The sequence below is a fragment of the Homo sapiens genome, chromosome 8, assembly GCF_000001405.40.
Source record: "Homo sapiens chromosome 8, GRCh38.p14 Primary Assembly".
NCBI classification, from domain to species: Eukaryota; Metazoa; Chordata; class Mammalia; order Primates; family Hominidae; genus Homo; species Homo sapiens.
The window spans coordinates 92,017,994-92,036,017 of record NC_000008.11 but is presented as its reverse complement, the minus strand read 5'-3'; the positions used below and the strand labels follow the sequence as shown (position 1 = coordinate 92,036,017).

The 18,024-nt window shown below is 39.0% G+C and overlaps 1 protein-coding gene across 23 annotated transcripts in view, besides 1 other annotated feature; it reads left to right on the top strand.

The window, feature by feature from the left end:
• The window catches only part of RUNX1T1 (RUNX1 partner transcriptional co-repressor 1), a 148,419-nt gene that overhangs the window by 67,368 nt on the left and 63,027 nt on the right, over positions 1-18,024 (top strand). The window lies entirely within an intron of this gene.
• Positions 14,901-17,878: an enhancer, noted in NCBI's record as "VISTA enhancer hs1658". NCBI's record gives its function as "enhancer in: somite[6/10] | branchial arch[6/10] | heart[9/10]" and the evidence as "EXISTENCE:transgenic organism evidence [ECO:0001131][PMID:17130149]".

The window sequence follows — 18,024 nt, the reverse complement described above, 5'->3', positions numbered from 1 at the left end:
CTACATTAAGAACTTACTAACATTAAATTTATGTATGTGTTCACTTGAGACACTTCCCTGGAACTTAAGGTGGTGTCTGAATTGTAAAAATGTGTCATTCAAATTGTAACTAGCCAGAATTTTATGGTTCTAGGTTCCCCAATGGTTTTCCTGGTATTAAAAGGTATGCTTGCTTTTACATTGTCTGGAAATATGGAAGGTGAAAGTAGACTTACTTAGATGCTTTTGAATATATATATATATATATGCAGATATTTCCTGCTAAGGCAATCTTGATTTTCTGTCCTTAGGGAATATTTATTAGCAATTAATTATTTAGGGTAACTTCTCTGAATTACTTTATTAAGTAAGGTCATGGGTTTCCATGAAAAGTTGTATTATGCAAAGTATTCACTGATGTAGAAACTCTATTAAGAAATGATAAATATGAAATTGAAACAACCGTATAAAATATATGGAGTTGATCTCCCTTTATATTGACCATATTAAGCCAAGAGAAAATCGCCTTTAAAATTTTTTTTTATGTATTTAGAGTGTACAAGTGCAGATGCATTTCTTACATGCATATATTGTGTGGTGGTAAAGCCGAGGCTTTTAGTGTACCAAATGTGATCATTATACCTAAAAGGTAATTTTTCAACTCTCACCTCCCTCCCACCCTCCCACTTTTTGGAGTCTCCAGTGGGATACCTATTATCCCACTCTTATTTTTTTTTTTTTTTGAAATGGAATTTCACTCTTATCGCTCAGACGGGAGGGCAATGGCGCGATATTGGCTCACTGCAACCTCTGCTTCCCGGGTTCAAGCGATTCTCCTGCCTCAGCCTCCCAAGTAGCTGGGATTACAGGTGCCCGCCATCACACCCAGCTAATTTTTATACTTTTAGTAGAGACGGCGTTTCACCACGTTGGCCAGGCTGGTCTCGAACTCCTGACCTCAGGTGATCCGCCCTCCTTGGCCTCCCAAAGTGCTGGGATTACAGGGCATGAGCCACTGTACCAGCCTATCCCATTCGTTACATGTGTACCCATTATTTAGCTCCTACTTATAAATGAGAACATGCAGTATTTGACTTTCTGTTTCTAAGGTATTTCACTTAGGATAATAGCCTCCAGTTCCATCCGGGTTGCTGCAAAATACATGATTTGATTGTTTTTAATGGCTGGGTGGTATTCCATGGTGTGTGTGTGTGTGTGTGTGTGTGTGTGTGTGTGTGTGTATATATGTATATATATATGTGTATATATATGTATATGTGTGTATATATATGTGTATATATATGTATACGTGTGTATATATATGTGTATATATATGTATACATGTATACACACACACACACACACACATATATATATGCCATTTTCTTTAGTCGTCTGTTGATGGATACTTAGTTTGATTCCTTGTGTTGCTGTTGTGAATAGTGCTGCAATAAACTAGGAGTGCAGGTATCTTTTTGATATAAGAAGGAAATCTCCGTTAAATGCATATCTTTCGTTCTCAATTAATGCATCAATATAATTATATGTAAAGAATTTGCTAATATAAGTCACAGGCTGTTCAAATTTGTCTTTGGGAGCCCTTCCAGAGGCCTCAACTTTTAGTGAAACTGCTTTATGGGGTGGGTTCCATTTTGTCACATGGCACTTACTAAATGCTTTCTGAAGAATCTGATCATTTTTTGGGGGATTGTATTCTTATGGTGCTCTAGTGTACTTTTGGATTTTTCCCCAAGGTGATCTCTAGTCTTTTCCTCTCAGTCAGCTAGTGTTTGTGGACCTTTTTCTTACTAAAATAATATTCATTCTTTTATTCAGTGAACATTGATGCTAGGCACTGTTATATGAATGGGATACAAAGGTGAATAAGGCACTTTTTCTACTCGTGTGTGTTCACGGGCTTTCTTGTGCTCCAACCGCTATAGATAACTCCGCCTCTTTAACCCCTTCTCTTCCCTTTTGGTTGTCTTGAATCCTGCTTTTTACCCCTTCACTCCAAAGCTGAATAGCCTTGGTAGAGTTCCAAATTTAAAAAAAAAATTTTTTTTTTTTGAGACAGAGTCTCGCTCTATTGCCCAGGCTGGAGTGCGGTGGTGCAGTCTCAGCTCACTGCAACCTCCACCTCCCAGGTTCAAACAATTCTTCTGCCTCAGCCTCCTAGTAGCTGGGACTACAGGAGCATGCCACCACACCCGGCTAATTTTTGTATTTTTAGTGGAGACGGGGTTTCACCATATTGGCCAGGCTGGTCTTGAACTCCTAACCTCATGATCCGCCCGCTTCAGCCTCCCAAAGTTCTCGGATTATAGGCGTGAGCCACCGCACCCAGCCAAAAAATTTTAATTTTTGTATTTAGCTGGGCATGGTGGTTCACATCTGTAGTCCCAGCTACTTGGGAGGCTGAGACAGGGTTTTGCCATGTTGGCCAGGCTGGTCTTGAACTCCTGGGCTCAAGTGATCAGCCCGCCTCACCGTCCGAAAGTGCCGAGATTACAGGCATGAGCCACTGTGCCTGGCCTGACAATATATTTGAAAGTTCTGCCCCATTCTGAATCACGAACTTAAGAAATAGCTACTCAGTATTCTAATAGAGATCATTATTATACGTACCCTTCTAGTCTTTTTACAAACACATACACATCCATCTAATTGTCTTAAAATAGTTTTCTTAAAAAACAGGATCTTGTAAAACATACTGCTTTGTAACTTCCCCCCATGTGGTAGTAGTATATTTTAAAGATCTTTCCAAGTAAATATACACAACATTGTATTCCACTGTGGATGTATTAGAATTTGAATTGCCAAATGCCTATTGTTGAATAGTTAGGCTGTTTCCAGTTTCCTCATTATGAATTTCTTTGTATACTTGATATTATTTATGTGGAATAATTTCCAAAGAGTGGAATTTGTGTATTAAAGGATATGTATAATTTAGAGGCAATTGATGATATGTATTGCCTAATTGTCCTACAGGAAAATTATTATTTTAGAAAAGTATATTAATTGAAGTGCCAATTTATACTCTAATACCATATTATAATTAAAAAACTATCATTTTGTTGGATGAAAAAAAGATCTTGTTTTAATTTAAAAAAATACTAGAGAGGTTAAACTTTCCCTTATAGGGTTATGGGTCATTAATATTTATTTTGTACATTTTCTATTTGTGTTCTTTTACAATTTTTGTTCTGTTGGGCTGTTGAACTTTTAATTATTGACTTGATGGAGCTATTTCATTTTTTAGAGACAGGGCCTCACTCTGTCACCCAGGCTGGAGGCAGTGGCGTGATCATAGCTCACTGGAGCCTTGAACTCCTGGGCCCAAGTGATCTTCCTTCCTAGCTGTGCAGAGCACTGGGTTTACAGAATTGAGCCACTGCATCTGGCCTGATGGAACTATTTCTATATTAAGGCTATCAATCCATTGTTGCCCGTATACCAATCATATTTTCTTCATTTGTTACTTGCCTTTTTACTTTCCTTTTACTTTATTTATGGTACATTTTGCTGTACTCATGTTTATTAGTAAGTGCCATTATTGGTCTTGGCTCATCATGGTTATTGTCTCTTTTCTCATTCTATGATTAAATAAATATGCACTTACATATTTAATTTTTTACTGCAGTTTTTATTCATACAGAATGAGTGAATTTGAATATATGGCATGAGACGGGTTTATTTTTATGAATTGTTGTCTGTCTAGTAGTTGCTTGGGAATTACTGAATTATTGAATTACTTTGTCTTTTTCTCACTACTATGAGAAATTATTGTATACTAAATTCTTAAAGGTATATCCATTTCTGAACTTAGTATTTTTTCTATTTTTTTTTTATTCTGCTGTGTTGGCCATCTATTCATGTACTAGCAGCACACTGTTGAAATCATTATAGTTTTGTCATGCTTTTTTTTTTTTTTTTTTTTTTTTTGAGACAGGATTCTCGCTCTGCCGCCCAGGCTGGAGTGCAGTGGTGCAATCTTGGCTCACTGCAACTTCTGCCTCCCAGGTTCAAAAAATTCTCGTGCCTCAGCCTCCCAGGTAGCTGGGATTACAGGTGTGAGTCCCGTGCCTGGCTAATTATTTTGTATTTTTAGTAGAGATGGGGTTTCACCAGGTTGGCCAGGCTGTTCTCGAACTCCCGGGCTCAAGTGACCCGCCCGCCTCAGCCTCCCAAAGTGCTGGGATTACAGGAGTGAGCCATGTCTTGCTTTAAATAAACGCCCGGCCTTGTCATGCTTTAAATAAACTTTAGGCTGCTGGGCACTGGTTTATGCCTATAATCCCAACATTTTGGAAGGCCGAGGCAGGAGGATTGCTCGAGGCCAGGAGTTTGAGAGCAGCCTGGGCAACGTAGTGAAACTAAACCTCTACAAAAAAAAATTTAAATTAGTCTGGTATGGTGATATGCACCTGTAGTCCCAGCTACTCCAGAGGCTAAAGGAGGATCGCTAGAGCCCATGAGGTCAAGGCTGCAGTGAGCTATGTTCACACCACTGTATTCCCGCCCAAGCAATAGAGCAAGACCCTGTCTCAAATAAACAAACACACATGCTTACATACATACATACATTAGGCTAAATCTTGTCACACTTTATTTTCAAAGTGTTTCCTGGTTATTTTCATTTTTATTTCAGATTAACTTTTAAAACATTTGTAAAATTCTAGAAAAAAATCTACTGGTATTTTGTTTGTAATGATTTGAGTACACACACAATAGGGGTTGAATGGACACCCGACTATGTTAACTTTTTTAGATGGTTTAGTACAAAAAACTAAGGGCCTACTATGTGCAAGATGCTTATGTTTAGACACCGGAGATACAGCATTGAAAAGATAAGGCATCCTGGATCGCAAAGGTTATTTAGAAGTGGAATTGACAGAATATTGGGATGGACTGTAGCCAGAGGAAGTCTTAGGATGATTGTGGTATTTTGGCTTGGTTAGCTCAGTGGAAAATAATGCTATGCCCAGAGATTGAAATATAGGAGGAGGCACACATTTCCAAAGGACTATGTTAGGTTTGGTTCCACATATAACTATCAATGGGATATCCAGCTAGAGTTGTTAAGAAAGCAGTGAGACCTCTTGGTCTGGCCCTCAGGAAAGTATCCTTCCTTGGAGATATGGACACCTGGCAGAATTTGTTGCATGAGATGTGAAGGCCTGTGTCAGACGCCAGACAGGTTGAAGCCAGTTCAGAAGATGAGGAGATGAGGAAGGGCCAGGGTCCAAGAGAATTCCATTGCACTCCTAGAGATAGCTAGGAGAAGGATGCCACTGCAGAAGAAGAATGAGAAGTGGCTAAACAGATCAAAGGGCACCCAGAGGACAGGTAAGATAAAGACTGAAAGGTATGTTTTGGGTTAACCACAAAAGAGTTGGTCTTTTCACCGGGGTGGTTTAGGTGGAACAGTAGTGATAGAAGCCCCATTGCAGTGGGAATGAGGTTGAAATATGAGAAAGTGATTTCATTATTATCGTCAGTTGTTATTTTATTCTTTCTATTACTGAAGAAACTTCGGAACCCCTTCTAAAGAGAATAAGGAGTCCAATTGTTTTGCTCTACCTGTACCTTCAAATCTATATTTTTAAATAGGAAATTTCTTATATATCCACTGTTTACTCATACTAAGTACTTGGCAATGTGATACGTTCTGGGACTGAGTTGATATGATAAGAATTGATATGTCCCCATTTCCTTATGGGACACTACTCTCTGGCAGGAGGTGTTAGACAAATAATTATACAATTATATACAACAGTTGTGGTAAGCTCTACAAAAACAGATTAGGTAGTACGATATTGCTTATAATACAGTGGGTAGGATAGGGGAGAGGTCAAGGACGCCTTCCTTGAGTAAGTGAATTTGAGCTGAGATGGATTTTCTAGGGAGAGGGAAAGGCCCTGAGGTGAGATGAAGTTTGCAGCTGATTAAACCAATGAGGCATGAGATGAGATAAGAGAGGCCCATATTAAATCTATCTAGGTTGTTGGTCATTTGAAGGTTTGGATTTTATACTAAGAGTTATGGTAAACCATTGAAACACTTTAAATAGGGGAATGACTTGATCGGATCATTAGAATGTAAAGTTCTTGAGTGTAGTGATTTTTAAGAATTTTTGTTCACTGACCTGTCCATAGTGTTTAACAGTACCTAGCACATTTTATATAGCTCAGTAAATATTTTTGAATGAATGCTTTTTTTAAAAAAAATGAGTGAAACATTTGGTTTTACAAGAAGTTTTCATCTGTTGTTTCATGTAAACAGATTGCAGTGTGGTGTGAGAGGTTGTAAAGTCCAAGTGGAAGATAGTGGTGGCTTGTATGCTAGTGGTGGCAGTGGAAATGGAGAGGCACATGGAGGAGGCAGAATAATTTGATAGTGGCAAGTGTGGGAGACGAAGCTACTTGGGATATTTTATACACGAACAGCACAGTACCATTGATGAAGTTGAACTTATCCTGTCCTTTTTCCAAATACTTCTTCCAGCTGGGTTTTGGCATTGGTTTTTAACATCACCATGCACCTCTCGGTTCCTACTTATTCGAGGGCATCTTACTGAGCTGTGTTAACTTGAGCAATACTTCTGAAATATCTCCTGAATTTTCCCCTTTTCTCCAGTCTTACAGCCATTTCCATACTGAATGCCTGTGTTCTATCTTGCCTAGACTATTGCTATCCAGTACTCCTGCCCTGTTGCCACTTTTATCCTATTCATACTGTGCTCTCAGATACACTATAGAAATGAACATCTCATTTGGCTGCCTAAAATCTCAGTGCCTTTTCATTGCCTATAATGTAAAGACTAAACTAACAGTACTTTTTTTCCCCCTAGAGTACATTCAATTAAAATCAAGAAATGTTCATTTAAACTCCTGCTGTTTGCTTGTCTACGATTTAGCCACAGGTACATACCCTGGGCACCTTCCTGATTGTCTCTCTTGATTTGCTAATTACTATCTGGATGATCATAACTGACTCTACTGAGTGTCTGTGCTACCGTTTTTCTGCAGCAGCTCTCTGAACCTTCTCTATAACCTTCTTTATCCTTGTCAAATAAGACAAATGTTATTAGAGTAATAATTGTCAGTTCTTTAGATGATAAAAGGTTTGGATCACTAATGACTTGTTTTTGTTTTTTGTTTGTTTTTTTTTACTTTCCAGAATGAACTACAGTTTGACAACAAAATGTTAACATACATGCTTATGTTCAGTTTTGGGGCCCTTGTGATAACATGCATCTTTCTCTTCTCTTTGGACAAGGAGGAGTGACTTCTGTTATTTGGGCAACTTAGTTTTCCTTCCTAAGTATTGTTAACCTTAAGTAGACATTTGCTATTTGCCTGTGCCAGGGGCTTTAAACTTTTCTTTGTTAAACAAGGACCCTTATTTTTAAATGAGATCTTAAATAGAACACCAGGGTGTAAGTCAGATTAACCTGGAACTAGCCTATTTGAAGTGTATTGACTTCACCTATTTGAAGCTATTTGAAGTGAAGTCGTTAGATCCCAGGCTGCCACTTAATATCCATTTGGTACCTTAGGTACCTCCAAGAAGTGGTGATTAGAATAAGAAGCAAGAGTCACTGGAATAAAGGTGGTAACAGCTGTGGGAGGGATGACATTTCTGAAGGACTTAGACATACAAGTAATGCCTGGCATCCACCAGTATTCCAATGACAGCAGATCTTTCCTTACTTCATGAAATGAGTATTATTTTTCTGTCCAGAACCACCATTTGCTCTATTGAACTGTCTTAAGGATTTGTTTCAAACAGCTAAGTTATTTGATTAAAATAGTGATAAAATTGAAAAAAAAAAAAAAAGAATTACTAATATGTCTCTAGCTGTTTTGGCAGAAACTAACCTTTCTTCCTTCCTTTCATCCATCCCTCCCTCCCCTCCTCCCTCCCTTCTTTCCCTCCTTCCTTCCCACCCCCCCCCCCATTTATTCCATCCGTCTGTCCATCTGTCCGTCCATCCAATGCCTACTATTTCAGGCACTTTTCTAAATGCTACAGAGCTAACAAAACAGAGAAAAATCTCTGTTCACGAAGCTGACATTATGGATGGGGACACATTCAAAAATAAGATAAATGTGCCATGCATAGCTAGCCGGATAAGTGCTATAGAGGAAGGGAAGGGGAATTCCTGTTGTCCCTGTATGGAGATGAGCCAAACATTTTTTTGAAATTAGTTTTCCAAAAATAGTAATCGATTGCCATAGATTTATCTCATTCTCTTACCTGGTTTCCCTCTTAATCCAAGTTCACTCCCATTAAAGACCATAGGGATGTGCTGCAGTCATCTCTGATTCTGGGCCAGCTGCTGACTGGCTCATCCCAGGACTGTGAGCCTGTGGCCTTGTCCTCACTGGCATGGTCACCTTGATGTTTACTGATCACCTGAACTGAGAATGTCTTGTGCCGGCACTTCTTCAGAGCTCATAGCTTACATATCTTTGGGCTTCAGACTTGTTTTTCCTATCTCATCATCATCAAATGTAGAAACCCAGCATATAAAGCAACTGAAAGGTCTGAATGGCAGCGGAAGATGTTTAGGATGAGGCTCCAGACAATCCTCCTGCTCCCCATCCCTTTGGGCTGCCTTGTCACCTCCATGGACTTCTGCCACAGAGCTGTTATTTCTAGGGTAACATTTCAGAGTCATTGTTCTAGGATGCCATTGTCCTTTTCTGATGACAGAAGTGTTTTATAACTGAGCTTTCTAACATAGTAACCATCAGGCACATGTAAATTTGAGTATGCAGCTAGTGTGACTGAGAAACGAAATTTTAAATTTTATTTAATCTTAATTAAAATTTAAATAGTCACATGTGGCTAGTGGCTACTGTATTGGAAGATGCTTTTTTTGTTTGTTTGTTTTTCTTTTTTTTTTTTTTTTTTTGAGACGGAGTTTCGCTCTGTCGCCCAGGCTGGAGCGCAGTGGCGCGATCTCGACTCACTGCAAGCTCCGCCTCCCGGGTTCACGCCATTCTCCTGCCTCAGCCTCCCGAGTAGCTGGGACTACAGGCGCGCGCCACCATGCCCGGCTAATTTTTGTATTTTTAGTAGAGACAGGGTTTCACCGTGTCAGCCAGGATGGTCTCGATCTCCTGACCTCGTGATCCGCCCGTCTCGGCCTCCCAAAGTGCTGGGATTACAGGCGTGAGCCACCGCGCCCGGCCGTTTGTTTGTTTTTGAGACTGGGTCTCGCTCTCTTGCCCAGGCTGGAGTGCAGTGGCACGATCTTGGCTAACTGCAAGCTCCACCTCACGGGTTTACGCCATTCTCCTGCCTCAACCTCCTGAGTAGCTTGGACTACAGGCGCCCGCCACCAGGCCAGGCTAATTTTTTCATATTTTTCGTAGAGACGGGGTTTCACTGTGTTAGCCAGGATGGTCTCAATCTCCTGACCTCGTGATCCGCCTGCCTCAGCCTCCCAAAGTACTGGGATTACAGGCATGAGCCACTGTGCCCAGCCGGAAGATGCAGTTTTAATGTAATGCTAGCTACAGATTTAACGTTTACTGAGTGCAGTTCATATCCCAGTTTTCCAGATCATGAATAAAATGACAGTAGTTTTAGAGGATAATGAACTTTGAGAAGGCATGGATTAAGACCTGACTTAAAACCTTGGGCAAATTTTTCAATCCCTCTGAGCCTCAGTTCCTTTTTTATAAAGTGGGCAAATTTATAGTACCTTTTCATAGAGAGGTTTAAAGTGAGATAAACCATGCCCAACATTTGGCACAATGCCTAAGCCTGATTGTAGCTGATTTATCCTAATAGGGTTTTGTTGTTGTTGTTGTTTATTGGGGCATTTCTTTGGCTTGTAAAATGTAAAATATGCCCATTATAGAACAGAGAAAAATAAGAAAATAAACATAACCTGTACCACCATCCACAGACAAAACAACAGAAAACTTGTAGAATGTAGAAAAAAGTATGTCTTTGGTTCACAATATGCTTTTCTCTTTGTTTTGAATGTGTACATGTATGACTACACTGACACTACTATTGTAAAACAGTTTTTAGAGGCCATAGATCATATGTGTATAAATTGCCTTACAAACTTTTTTTCTAATATCATATACTAAAAAGTCTCAGGAAATATGTGGTTACTGAGAGTTGTTAGAAAACTGGTGAATTGAATAATCCAGTAGTATTTTTCTAGATTTATCTTTAGTGATTAATTTTTCCAGAATATAAAAATTCTTTTGGAATTCTTTTTGGATGATGAGAGGAAAAAAGAGATACATAGATGATTTCATCTTGAGTTAAAGCTGTGTGTCAGATACTGCTAAGTGCTGGGACTATAAAAACAAATAAAATGTCATCATTGCTCTTAAGTAAATTGTGGTCTAAATACTGTGTGATCAGTGCTGCAGGAGGGATCTAGACAGTCTAATATGAGAACTTGGGACAAACCCGGCCAGCTGGGGATAGAAAGGTTGTCAGCAAAAGGTTTCTGGCTGAAGTGACACCTGAAGGAAGTTTTAAAGGAATGATGGACTTAATTAGGCGGTGATGGGGTGAAGAGTATTCAAGGAAAGGGATGCAGTGAGTATGAAAGCCAGAGTGACCATGGGCATTTGGAGAACTGCAGCTGTCTAGTATGGAGGTCAGAGGTGGGGATGGGGTGGATGGCAGAAATGAAGATGTGTCTGGAGCAGCTGCAGGAACCAGATGGGTCACAAAGGTCTTTCTATGTCCTGTTAAGGAGCACAGACTTTAAGGTTATAAGAGATGTTTAAAGATTACAAGAGGAGAGAGGCAGGATCTCTGGTCACACCATTGGCATACATAGAAAAATAACTGGATGTGGTTTGGAGAATGTATCAGAGACGGGTGGGAGTCCATTCAATGACTTGTTGAATAGGTCAGGCAAGAGATGGTAGATGATTCAGGTTGTAGAAATGAGTAGCCCTCTGGAAGTTTGGGTCTAGAATTTGGGAGGGATATTGACTAGAGTTATTCTCATACTGGCCACGGAGTGAATAAAGTCACCCTTTCCGGAGTGCTTACCATGTATCAGGCATTTGACCAAGAATGCAATACACATTATTTGAGTTTATTCCCACAATACAGGGGTTGCAAAACATGGCCAGTTTTACATAGAGGATGGCAAATTCCAGTCCTGTCTCTGAAGCCCAATGATAACACAAATGAAATCACTAAGGAAGAGTATAAAGTGAAAATTTGAAAAGGGTCTAAGAAGGAACTTAGGGGAAAATGTCAGTAGTTATCACAGAGCAGGAAAAAGAGGAGCCCTTAAGAGACTGAAAAGGAGAAGCGAGGAAAGCCAGAGAAAGAGAGTATTAGACTCATGGAATTCTGGGGATGCAAATGGTTCAAGGAGGAAGTAGGGAAGTGTCAGATGCTACAGAGATGTCAGATAAAGTAGTGTACATGTTTCTTGGATTAAGAATAAAGAGACAATTGAGAAGAATTTCAGTGGAGTTTAGGAGGATATCTTGATGCTACATGCCAGGGTTGCTTTTTTTTTTTTTTTTTTTTTTTTTTGAGTTGGGGTTTCACTCTGTTACCCCAGTGGCAGGATCTTGGCTCACTGCAGCCTCTGCCTCCCAGGCTCAAAAAATTTTCCTGCCTCAACCTCCTGCATAGCAGGAACTACAGGCATGTGCCACCATGCCTGGCTAATTTTTGTATTTTTTGTAGAGACAGGGCTTTACCATGTTGGCCAGGGTGGTCTTGAACTCCAGTACTCAAGTGGTCCACCCACCTCAACCTCACAAAATGCTGGAATTACAGGCGTGAGCTACCGCACTCCACCTTGCATGCCAGGGTTATTTTATCAGCATTTCTTGGTTTTGGTGAAAATCAGCTCAATCTCGGTTTTAGGCAAAGTAGGGATTGTTTGACTAGGAATCTGTAGAAGGTTTGGAAGACCCAAATTGTAGGAATTTTACGGATATGACAAGTCCCTCGTATTCACTAGAATGAGGGACTTTATTTACTACTACCATGATAATCTCTCATTACTTCTCTTTGCTTTTTTCTGCCTGTTAGTTGCTGGCTTTTGTGCTGTAGACCTGCTTTCTAGATGTGGAGGGTAGTAGATGGTGCAGTTTTCTACCCTCAACTCTAAATATAAAGATCTTGGAGAAGGACTGATACTGCCTATCTTGGACTAGGTGCTATGTCTGGGCCTGTTGGTGTCTTGGGTACAAGTTCATGAAAGAACATGGTAGTTCCCAAGGTAGTTATGAGATTAGAGGGAATGGCAGTTTCCAGCATGGGAAGAGAAATGTTTAGACAGACAGTCTTATAGGTTTCTGCTCCTAGTGCATGGAAGATGGAGTGGGAAATGAAGAACCAGAGAAAGTGACTATAGATTCTCTTTTAAGAGCCTGGGCTATGAAAGAAAATCCTAGTGATTGTTTTGGTGACAACTAAAGAGGGAGAATTGGACTTTAGAATGCTTATTTTATAACTAAATCATTGATGAGGAGTGAAAATGTATCTGAAAAGAGGAGGTAGACATTAATTTTAATGTTTATGGGAGAAAAATGGACATGCAGACATTCTTGTGGACATGGAAATTTATGTGAACAGAAGAAGGCTAGTTATGATCATCACTTTCAAAGTGATTGTATTTGTGGTCACTTCATTATCAAATATATGTTTTCAGGGTGGTCATCTTTGTGTTTGTAATGATCATAAGCCATATCTATAGAAAGAAACCAGAGAATATTAGTATTTGCAAAAGATCTTTAGAAAGAATACAACCTAATATGCTTAATTCATAGATAAGAAAAGTAGAATTCAAAAAAGTGAAGGGAAGTAATTACTTACAGATAAAATAGTGCCTATTAGAAGAGAAGGGACTATTTGCTCCCTGGGTCCCTGTTTAGAAAGTGAGGATGTCTTTCTCACAACCTCTTCAGTAGACCTCCTTTCATGGCCCATTGTCCAGAATCGAATCACATCACCCACCTCTGAAGCCTGCTATTGAGAAAGAAACTGTGATAATCTGACTAATGTGCAACAAGGAGAATTTGCCCCCAAAGATTGTGGGAAGAGGAAGAGTACCTGAACAAAGTCAGGGCTCTCCAGCAAGGAAGAAAGCAACAAGCATTGCTAAGAACTCAACAGTGTCTGCAACATGGACTAAGCTAAAGAGCTTATATTTTATTCCATGGACAATGGGACTCTCCTGAAGGTTTTAGATCAGAGAATAGGTAAGATCCTATTTGTGTTTCAGCAAAAATGCTATTCATAAAACATCTATGGTCTTAGTCCATTTGTGCTGCTATATCAGTACCTTAGACTGGGTAGTTTAAACAAGATAAATTTATTTCTCATACTTCTGGAGGCTGGGAAATGCAAAATCAAGGTACTGACAGGTTGGGTAAGGGCCTGGTCTCTGCTCTCAAGATGGCAGCTTGTTGCTAGAATAGTGCCTTTTTACATGGCAGAAGAGATGGAAGGGCAAAAGTGGCCTCCTTAGCTCTCTCCAACCCATTTGTAAGAGACCGATCCCATCCATGATGGTAGAGCCCTTATGGGCTGAGTGCCTCCCAAAGGCCCCAGTTCTTAATATTATCACATTGGTGATTAAGTTTCAACACATGAATTTTGGGAAACATTCAGATCACGGCACCTGTGATAAGACATGAGGTGAGACGTCATTCTATATAAGTTAGTTGCAAAGTTGAACTAAATTTCAGGTCTCCAGCATCTTCCCATTGTTATCTACATTCTATCCTCTCTCTGTGTATACTGTTGATGGTGTGTGTTTGTCTTTTACCATGAAATTTGATATCTTTGAACGGATAATAATATAGGGAATGGATTTCTAATAGTTAGAAATGTAACTATCCACAATTATATTACTACATATTTATTAAGAATCCTCCTCAGGAGGAATTTTAAAAAATATCGCCATCAAGTGCTTACCATTTGCATTGGTTGGAATGTTTGGGTGTATAATATATACATGTGTCCATCATACAGAAGGGCTGTGATAAATGTTAAAAGAAAGGCAGAGGTAATGTGATATGGCTGTTGCTCGGGGCAGTTGAGGGAAGCTGAAAGAGGATGTGTGATCTACAGTGAGCAGTGAAGAATGTGCAAGTGGGACGGGTCATTCTAGATGAGGGAAACAGCAAGTAAAAGAAAGGCAGAAAAGCCAGGGAGTACCAAGGTGGCTGGTATTTGATAGAGCCTAGGATTGAGAGAAAAGTCAGGAATGGATCATGGAGTTGAAGACACAAGAGAATGAAGCTCACACCTGCTGGTACCTAATATAAGTAGGCACAGTGCTAGGGTTTAAAACGTGCAATCTCATTCAATTTCACCACATTCCTATGAGGGACAGAGGATCATTTTTGCATTTTTTTCTGATGAGGGACTGAGGCTCGGGAAAACTAACTTGCTTGAGAACTCACTACTAATGGTGGAGAGAGTCAACATTTGAAGCCAGTCTGCCTTAGGAAGTTATTCTGTTATGCCAAGTATCCCACTGTGTCATTTCATGATTCTTAGCATCTTAGTGTTTGACTTTCATTCTCGGGCATTGCAGAAGGGTTCTGAGCAGGAATGGGCATTACCACAGTGCTCATCAGGGAAGGGTGGAGGCTGGATGGAGGGCAGAAGCGACCAGCACCATTGTTCTGGTCCATGGATAGTCTCCTGTAACATCTGACACCCAGACATTGGAGTCACTACATAGCATCATTTTCAGAACTGTATTTGCCATCTTTTCCAGTGAAATAAAAATTAAAGTTCTATACCCACCTTGATGCCTCTCTAGCTTCCTTCTTCTTTCCTGTTTCCTGTTACAGGACTTGCATTTCACTTTGGCTTATCCTCTCTAGTACATACCTTCTAGCTTAGCCAACACTTATTCAAATATGACTAACTCAGACTAACTACTAGTTGTCCAAGAAGTTCCTCCTAATCCATAACATCTCTGAGACTTCGATAATTGACCTGATAAACTGATAGAAAAAGATGTACCACCTACCAATACTTGAACTCCCTTTTTGTTGTTGTTGTTGTTGTTTTATACTGGTCCTCTCTAGAATGCTATGTAAACAAGGAAAATGCAGAATACCTACTTTTTGTACCTTAGAAACACATCTGGTGCTATTTGAACTAACTAAAAGTAAAGTAAGTGCCATGGCAGATTATGCCATACCTTTTCTTTTTATTGAAAAAAAAAAAAAAAAAGGAAATGGGAAACATACCACTTCTAGAAGGCCCTGACACTGAACTGGATATTGAAATCATATAGGTAATGTATTAATATATGCCACATTTGTTTTCCATGCATCAACCATCTTTGGTACATATGTGTTGGATATTTGCCATGTGAGAGAAACGTTACACAGAGGGAAGATCGTCTTGTTTAGAAGTAGTATGAATCGCTAAGGTAGAAGTAAAGTCAGCCCTTTTTTATTTTACTTACCTTTGCTACATGATCTGATGGAGGTTTTTTCTTTTGCTTTTTTCTTTTGACTTTTAATCATTTTGTGTCAGTCTTTGAGTATATGTCAGAACTCCCCTATTGCAACTAAAAAATGGAAATTACATACCAGGACACTATAATTTCCATGAACTTAAAAAATTATATAAGAAATATTATAACTTAATATTGGTTTTACCATGTCCTCTAATTTGAAATGGAGTGAAATGCTTCTGTGGTTAAATCAGCTTGCTTGTGCTGTTTGCTATAAAAGTTTCAAGAATATATATTTCAAAAAAAGTTTTTAAATAATCCAAAACAAATGCAACAGGGCTCAGCATACTTGAAACACATTTTCCGCATTTATCTTAAATCTCTGTGCTCCAGAGAGTGTTCATGTGTATGTGGATTAGGCCTGGCTGGTTATTTCACCATCTATCTCCATCCTGGATTGATTGCACTGAACAGCACAGAATGAGTTACATATGGTCCCACTTTGTCTCAGTTTGTAGGACCTCTGGGCTGGAACTCCATTTGATCAGAGTGAAGCTAACCATTGCAGAAATTTGGCTAATGTAAAAACCCTGAATATATGCACATATACATATATTCTGGCTAGAATGTTCATATTCCTATTAGAAGTAGTGGTGTTTCCTATACATTGTCTCTGTAGTTATTGTTGACATTTCAAGAATTAAAAAAATAATCTATGGATGATGATGTTGCTGTTCTGGATAGGAGTCGTTACAAGTGTGGACCAAGACAATATTCAGATGTTTTCAAATCAAAATTATGAATATACCAAAAACTTTCTAAAATTGGGAAGAAGATAGGAATACAAAGATTATCTTAAATACAAACTTAAAATTGAGGAGGAAACTTATTGTCAAATTTATAGTTTATTTTTTTTAGGGTGGTCTATTTTAGGAAAGAAAAATAGCCTTCAAATATGTTTAAGTTTAGATATTGCTCCTTAACTCTATAAACTTGAGTCAGGTAGGGGGCTGTGCACATTAAGGTCCAGCTTGTAGACACTGAGGGTAAAGGAAGCTGTTGAGGGTAACTTACTCCCCCATCAGGCTCTTGTCTCTCTATTTTGTTCTTTTTCCTCCTCTTCTTTTTCCTCCTATTGCTTTATTTATTTTTTTGTTACTCCCACTTCCCCTCCCCCTCCTGCTCTTCCTTTCTCTGTCTGTGCAACCACGTGCTTCAAATCTGTGTATCTGGACTGCCTTCTCTAACAGTTCCGTGTGAGTGTTAGCAGAATGAAAACCAGATGGACCAGCAGTTCCCACTGTTATCTCCCAGCCGACTCTGGCAAGCCTCCCTTTTTCCCTCCCTCCTTGGCATGACAGAAATATTTGCCTTTATTTAGGGAGACTTGTATTTGCTGCTGTACCTCTTCCCTCAGCTGCAACATAAGTGGGAAGCTATTTATTCCCTTGTTGCTGAGGTTGGTTGAGGTGAGTAGAATGTGCAAATGAATTTAACTGTTGAAGAAGCGGTTTTAAGCCTGCCTAACTTCTGTATTTTTCTAGAATAAGTGACTTACTGGTTGTAGCAATCTGAAGACAAGTTTTTAACAATAGATAAAGGTGAAAATGCTCTTCATGTGTGTCTCTACCATCCTTTCACTCAGAACACTTTTATTCACTATAGGGACATCCGTTGTTATTCAGCCAGAAGTATAGATTCAGAAATGGAGACCCTGATATTGCTGTTAACTCATCAATAATAATAATAACAGCTTATTGTGCAAATACTCTTATTAGAATGATGATTATTTTCATTCTCTTATTGCATCTTCCCTAAAGTGATATCAACATTATTTCAACTTTTAAATGTTGTGTTTTATTGCAACCCAAGTGTTAAGCAATTGCTTTGAACAAAAGTGAGGTAGATTTGGAATTGTTATAGTAGTAATTTGGGTTTTTCTTTTTCTTTCAATAATTGACCTTTAAGTGATTTTGAGATTTTCTCACTGTGGTTATTATAACATTTTTAAAGGCTTGTTCTTTCTTAATAGTTACTTCACTTTTCTAAAAGCCCAAGTGTGAGATATTTGTGTCTATAACTGCAAGAGGTGCCTCAAAATACGTTGGGTGTGTGTGTGTTCATGTGCGTGCCTACACATTTGTGAAAGAATTAGATCTAAAGAACCAAAAATAGAGACTCTGATACTGCTGTTGACTAGCTCATCGTGCAAATGCTCTTATTTGAATGATGATTATTTTTATTCTTTTATTGCAGCTTCCTTAAAATGATACCAAAATTATTTCAACTTTTAAATGTTTATTATAACCAAAGTGTTAAGAAATTGCTTTGAACAGATCAAAAGGTCTGTTGCTTTGATAAGTAGATTAGATTGAGAAAAACAGTTCAGAATGTCAAGGGAAAAGTATACTTACAGCAGTTCTGAAGTATGAATGTCCATTATTGGGTAATCAGGAAATTTCTTCATATCTGCCACATACTCATGAAAAAAATATTAGCAGTGTCTAGTTCTTTTTAGTTCTCTGTTTGGGACTTTTACATTCTTAACTCTGTTTGAGATTATTAATTGGAGTATTGGTTTCATGCTTTTAAAATGGCAGGTC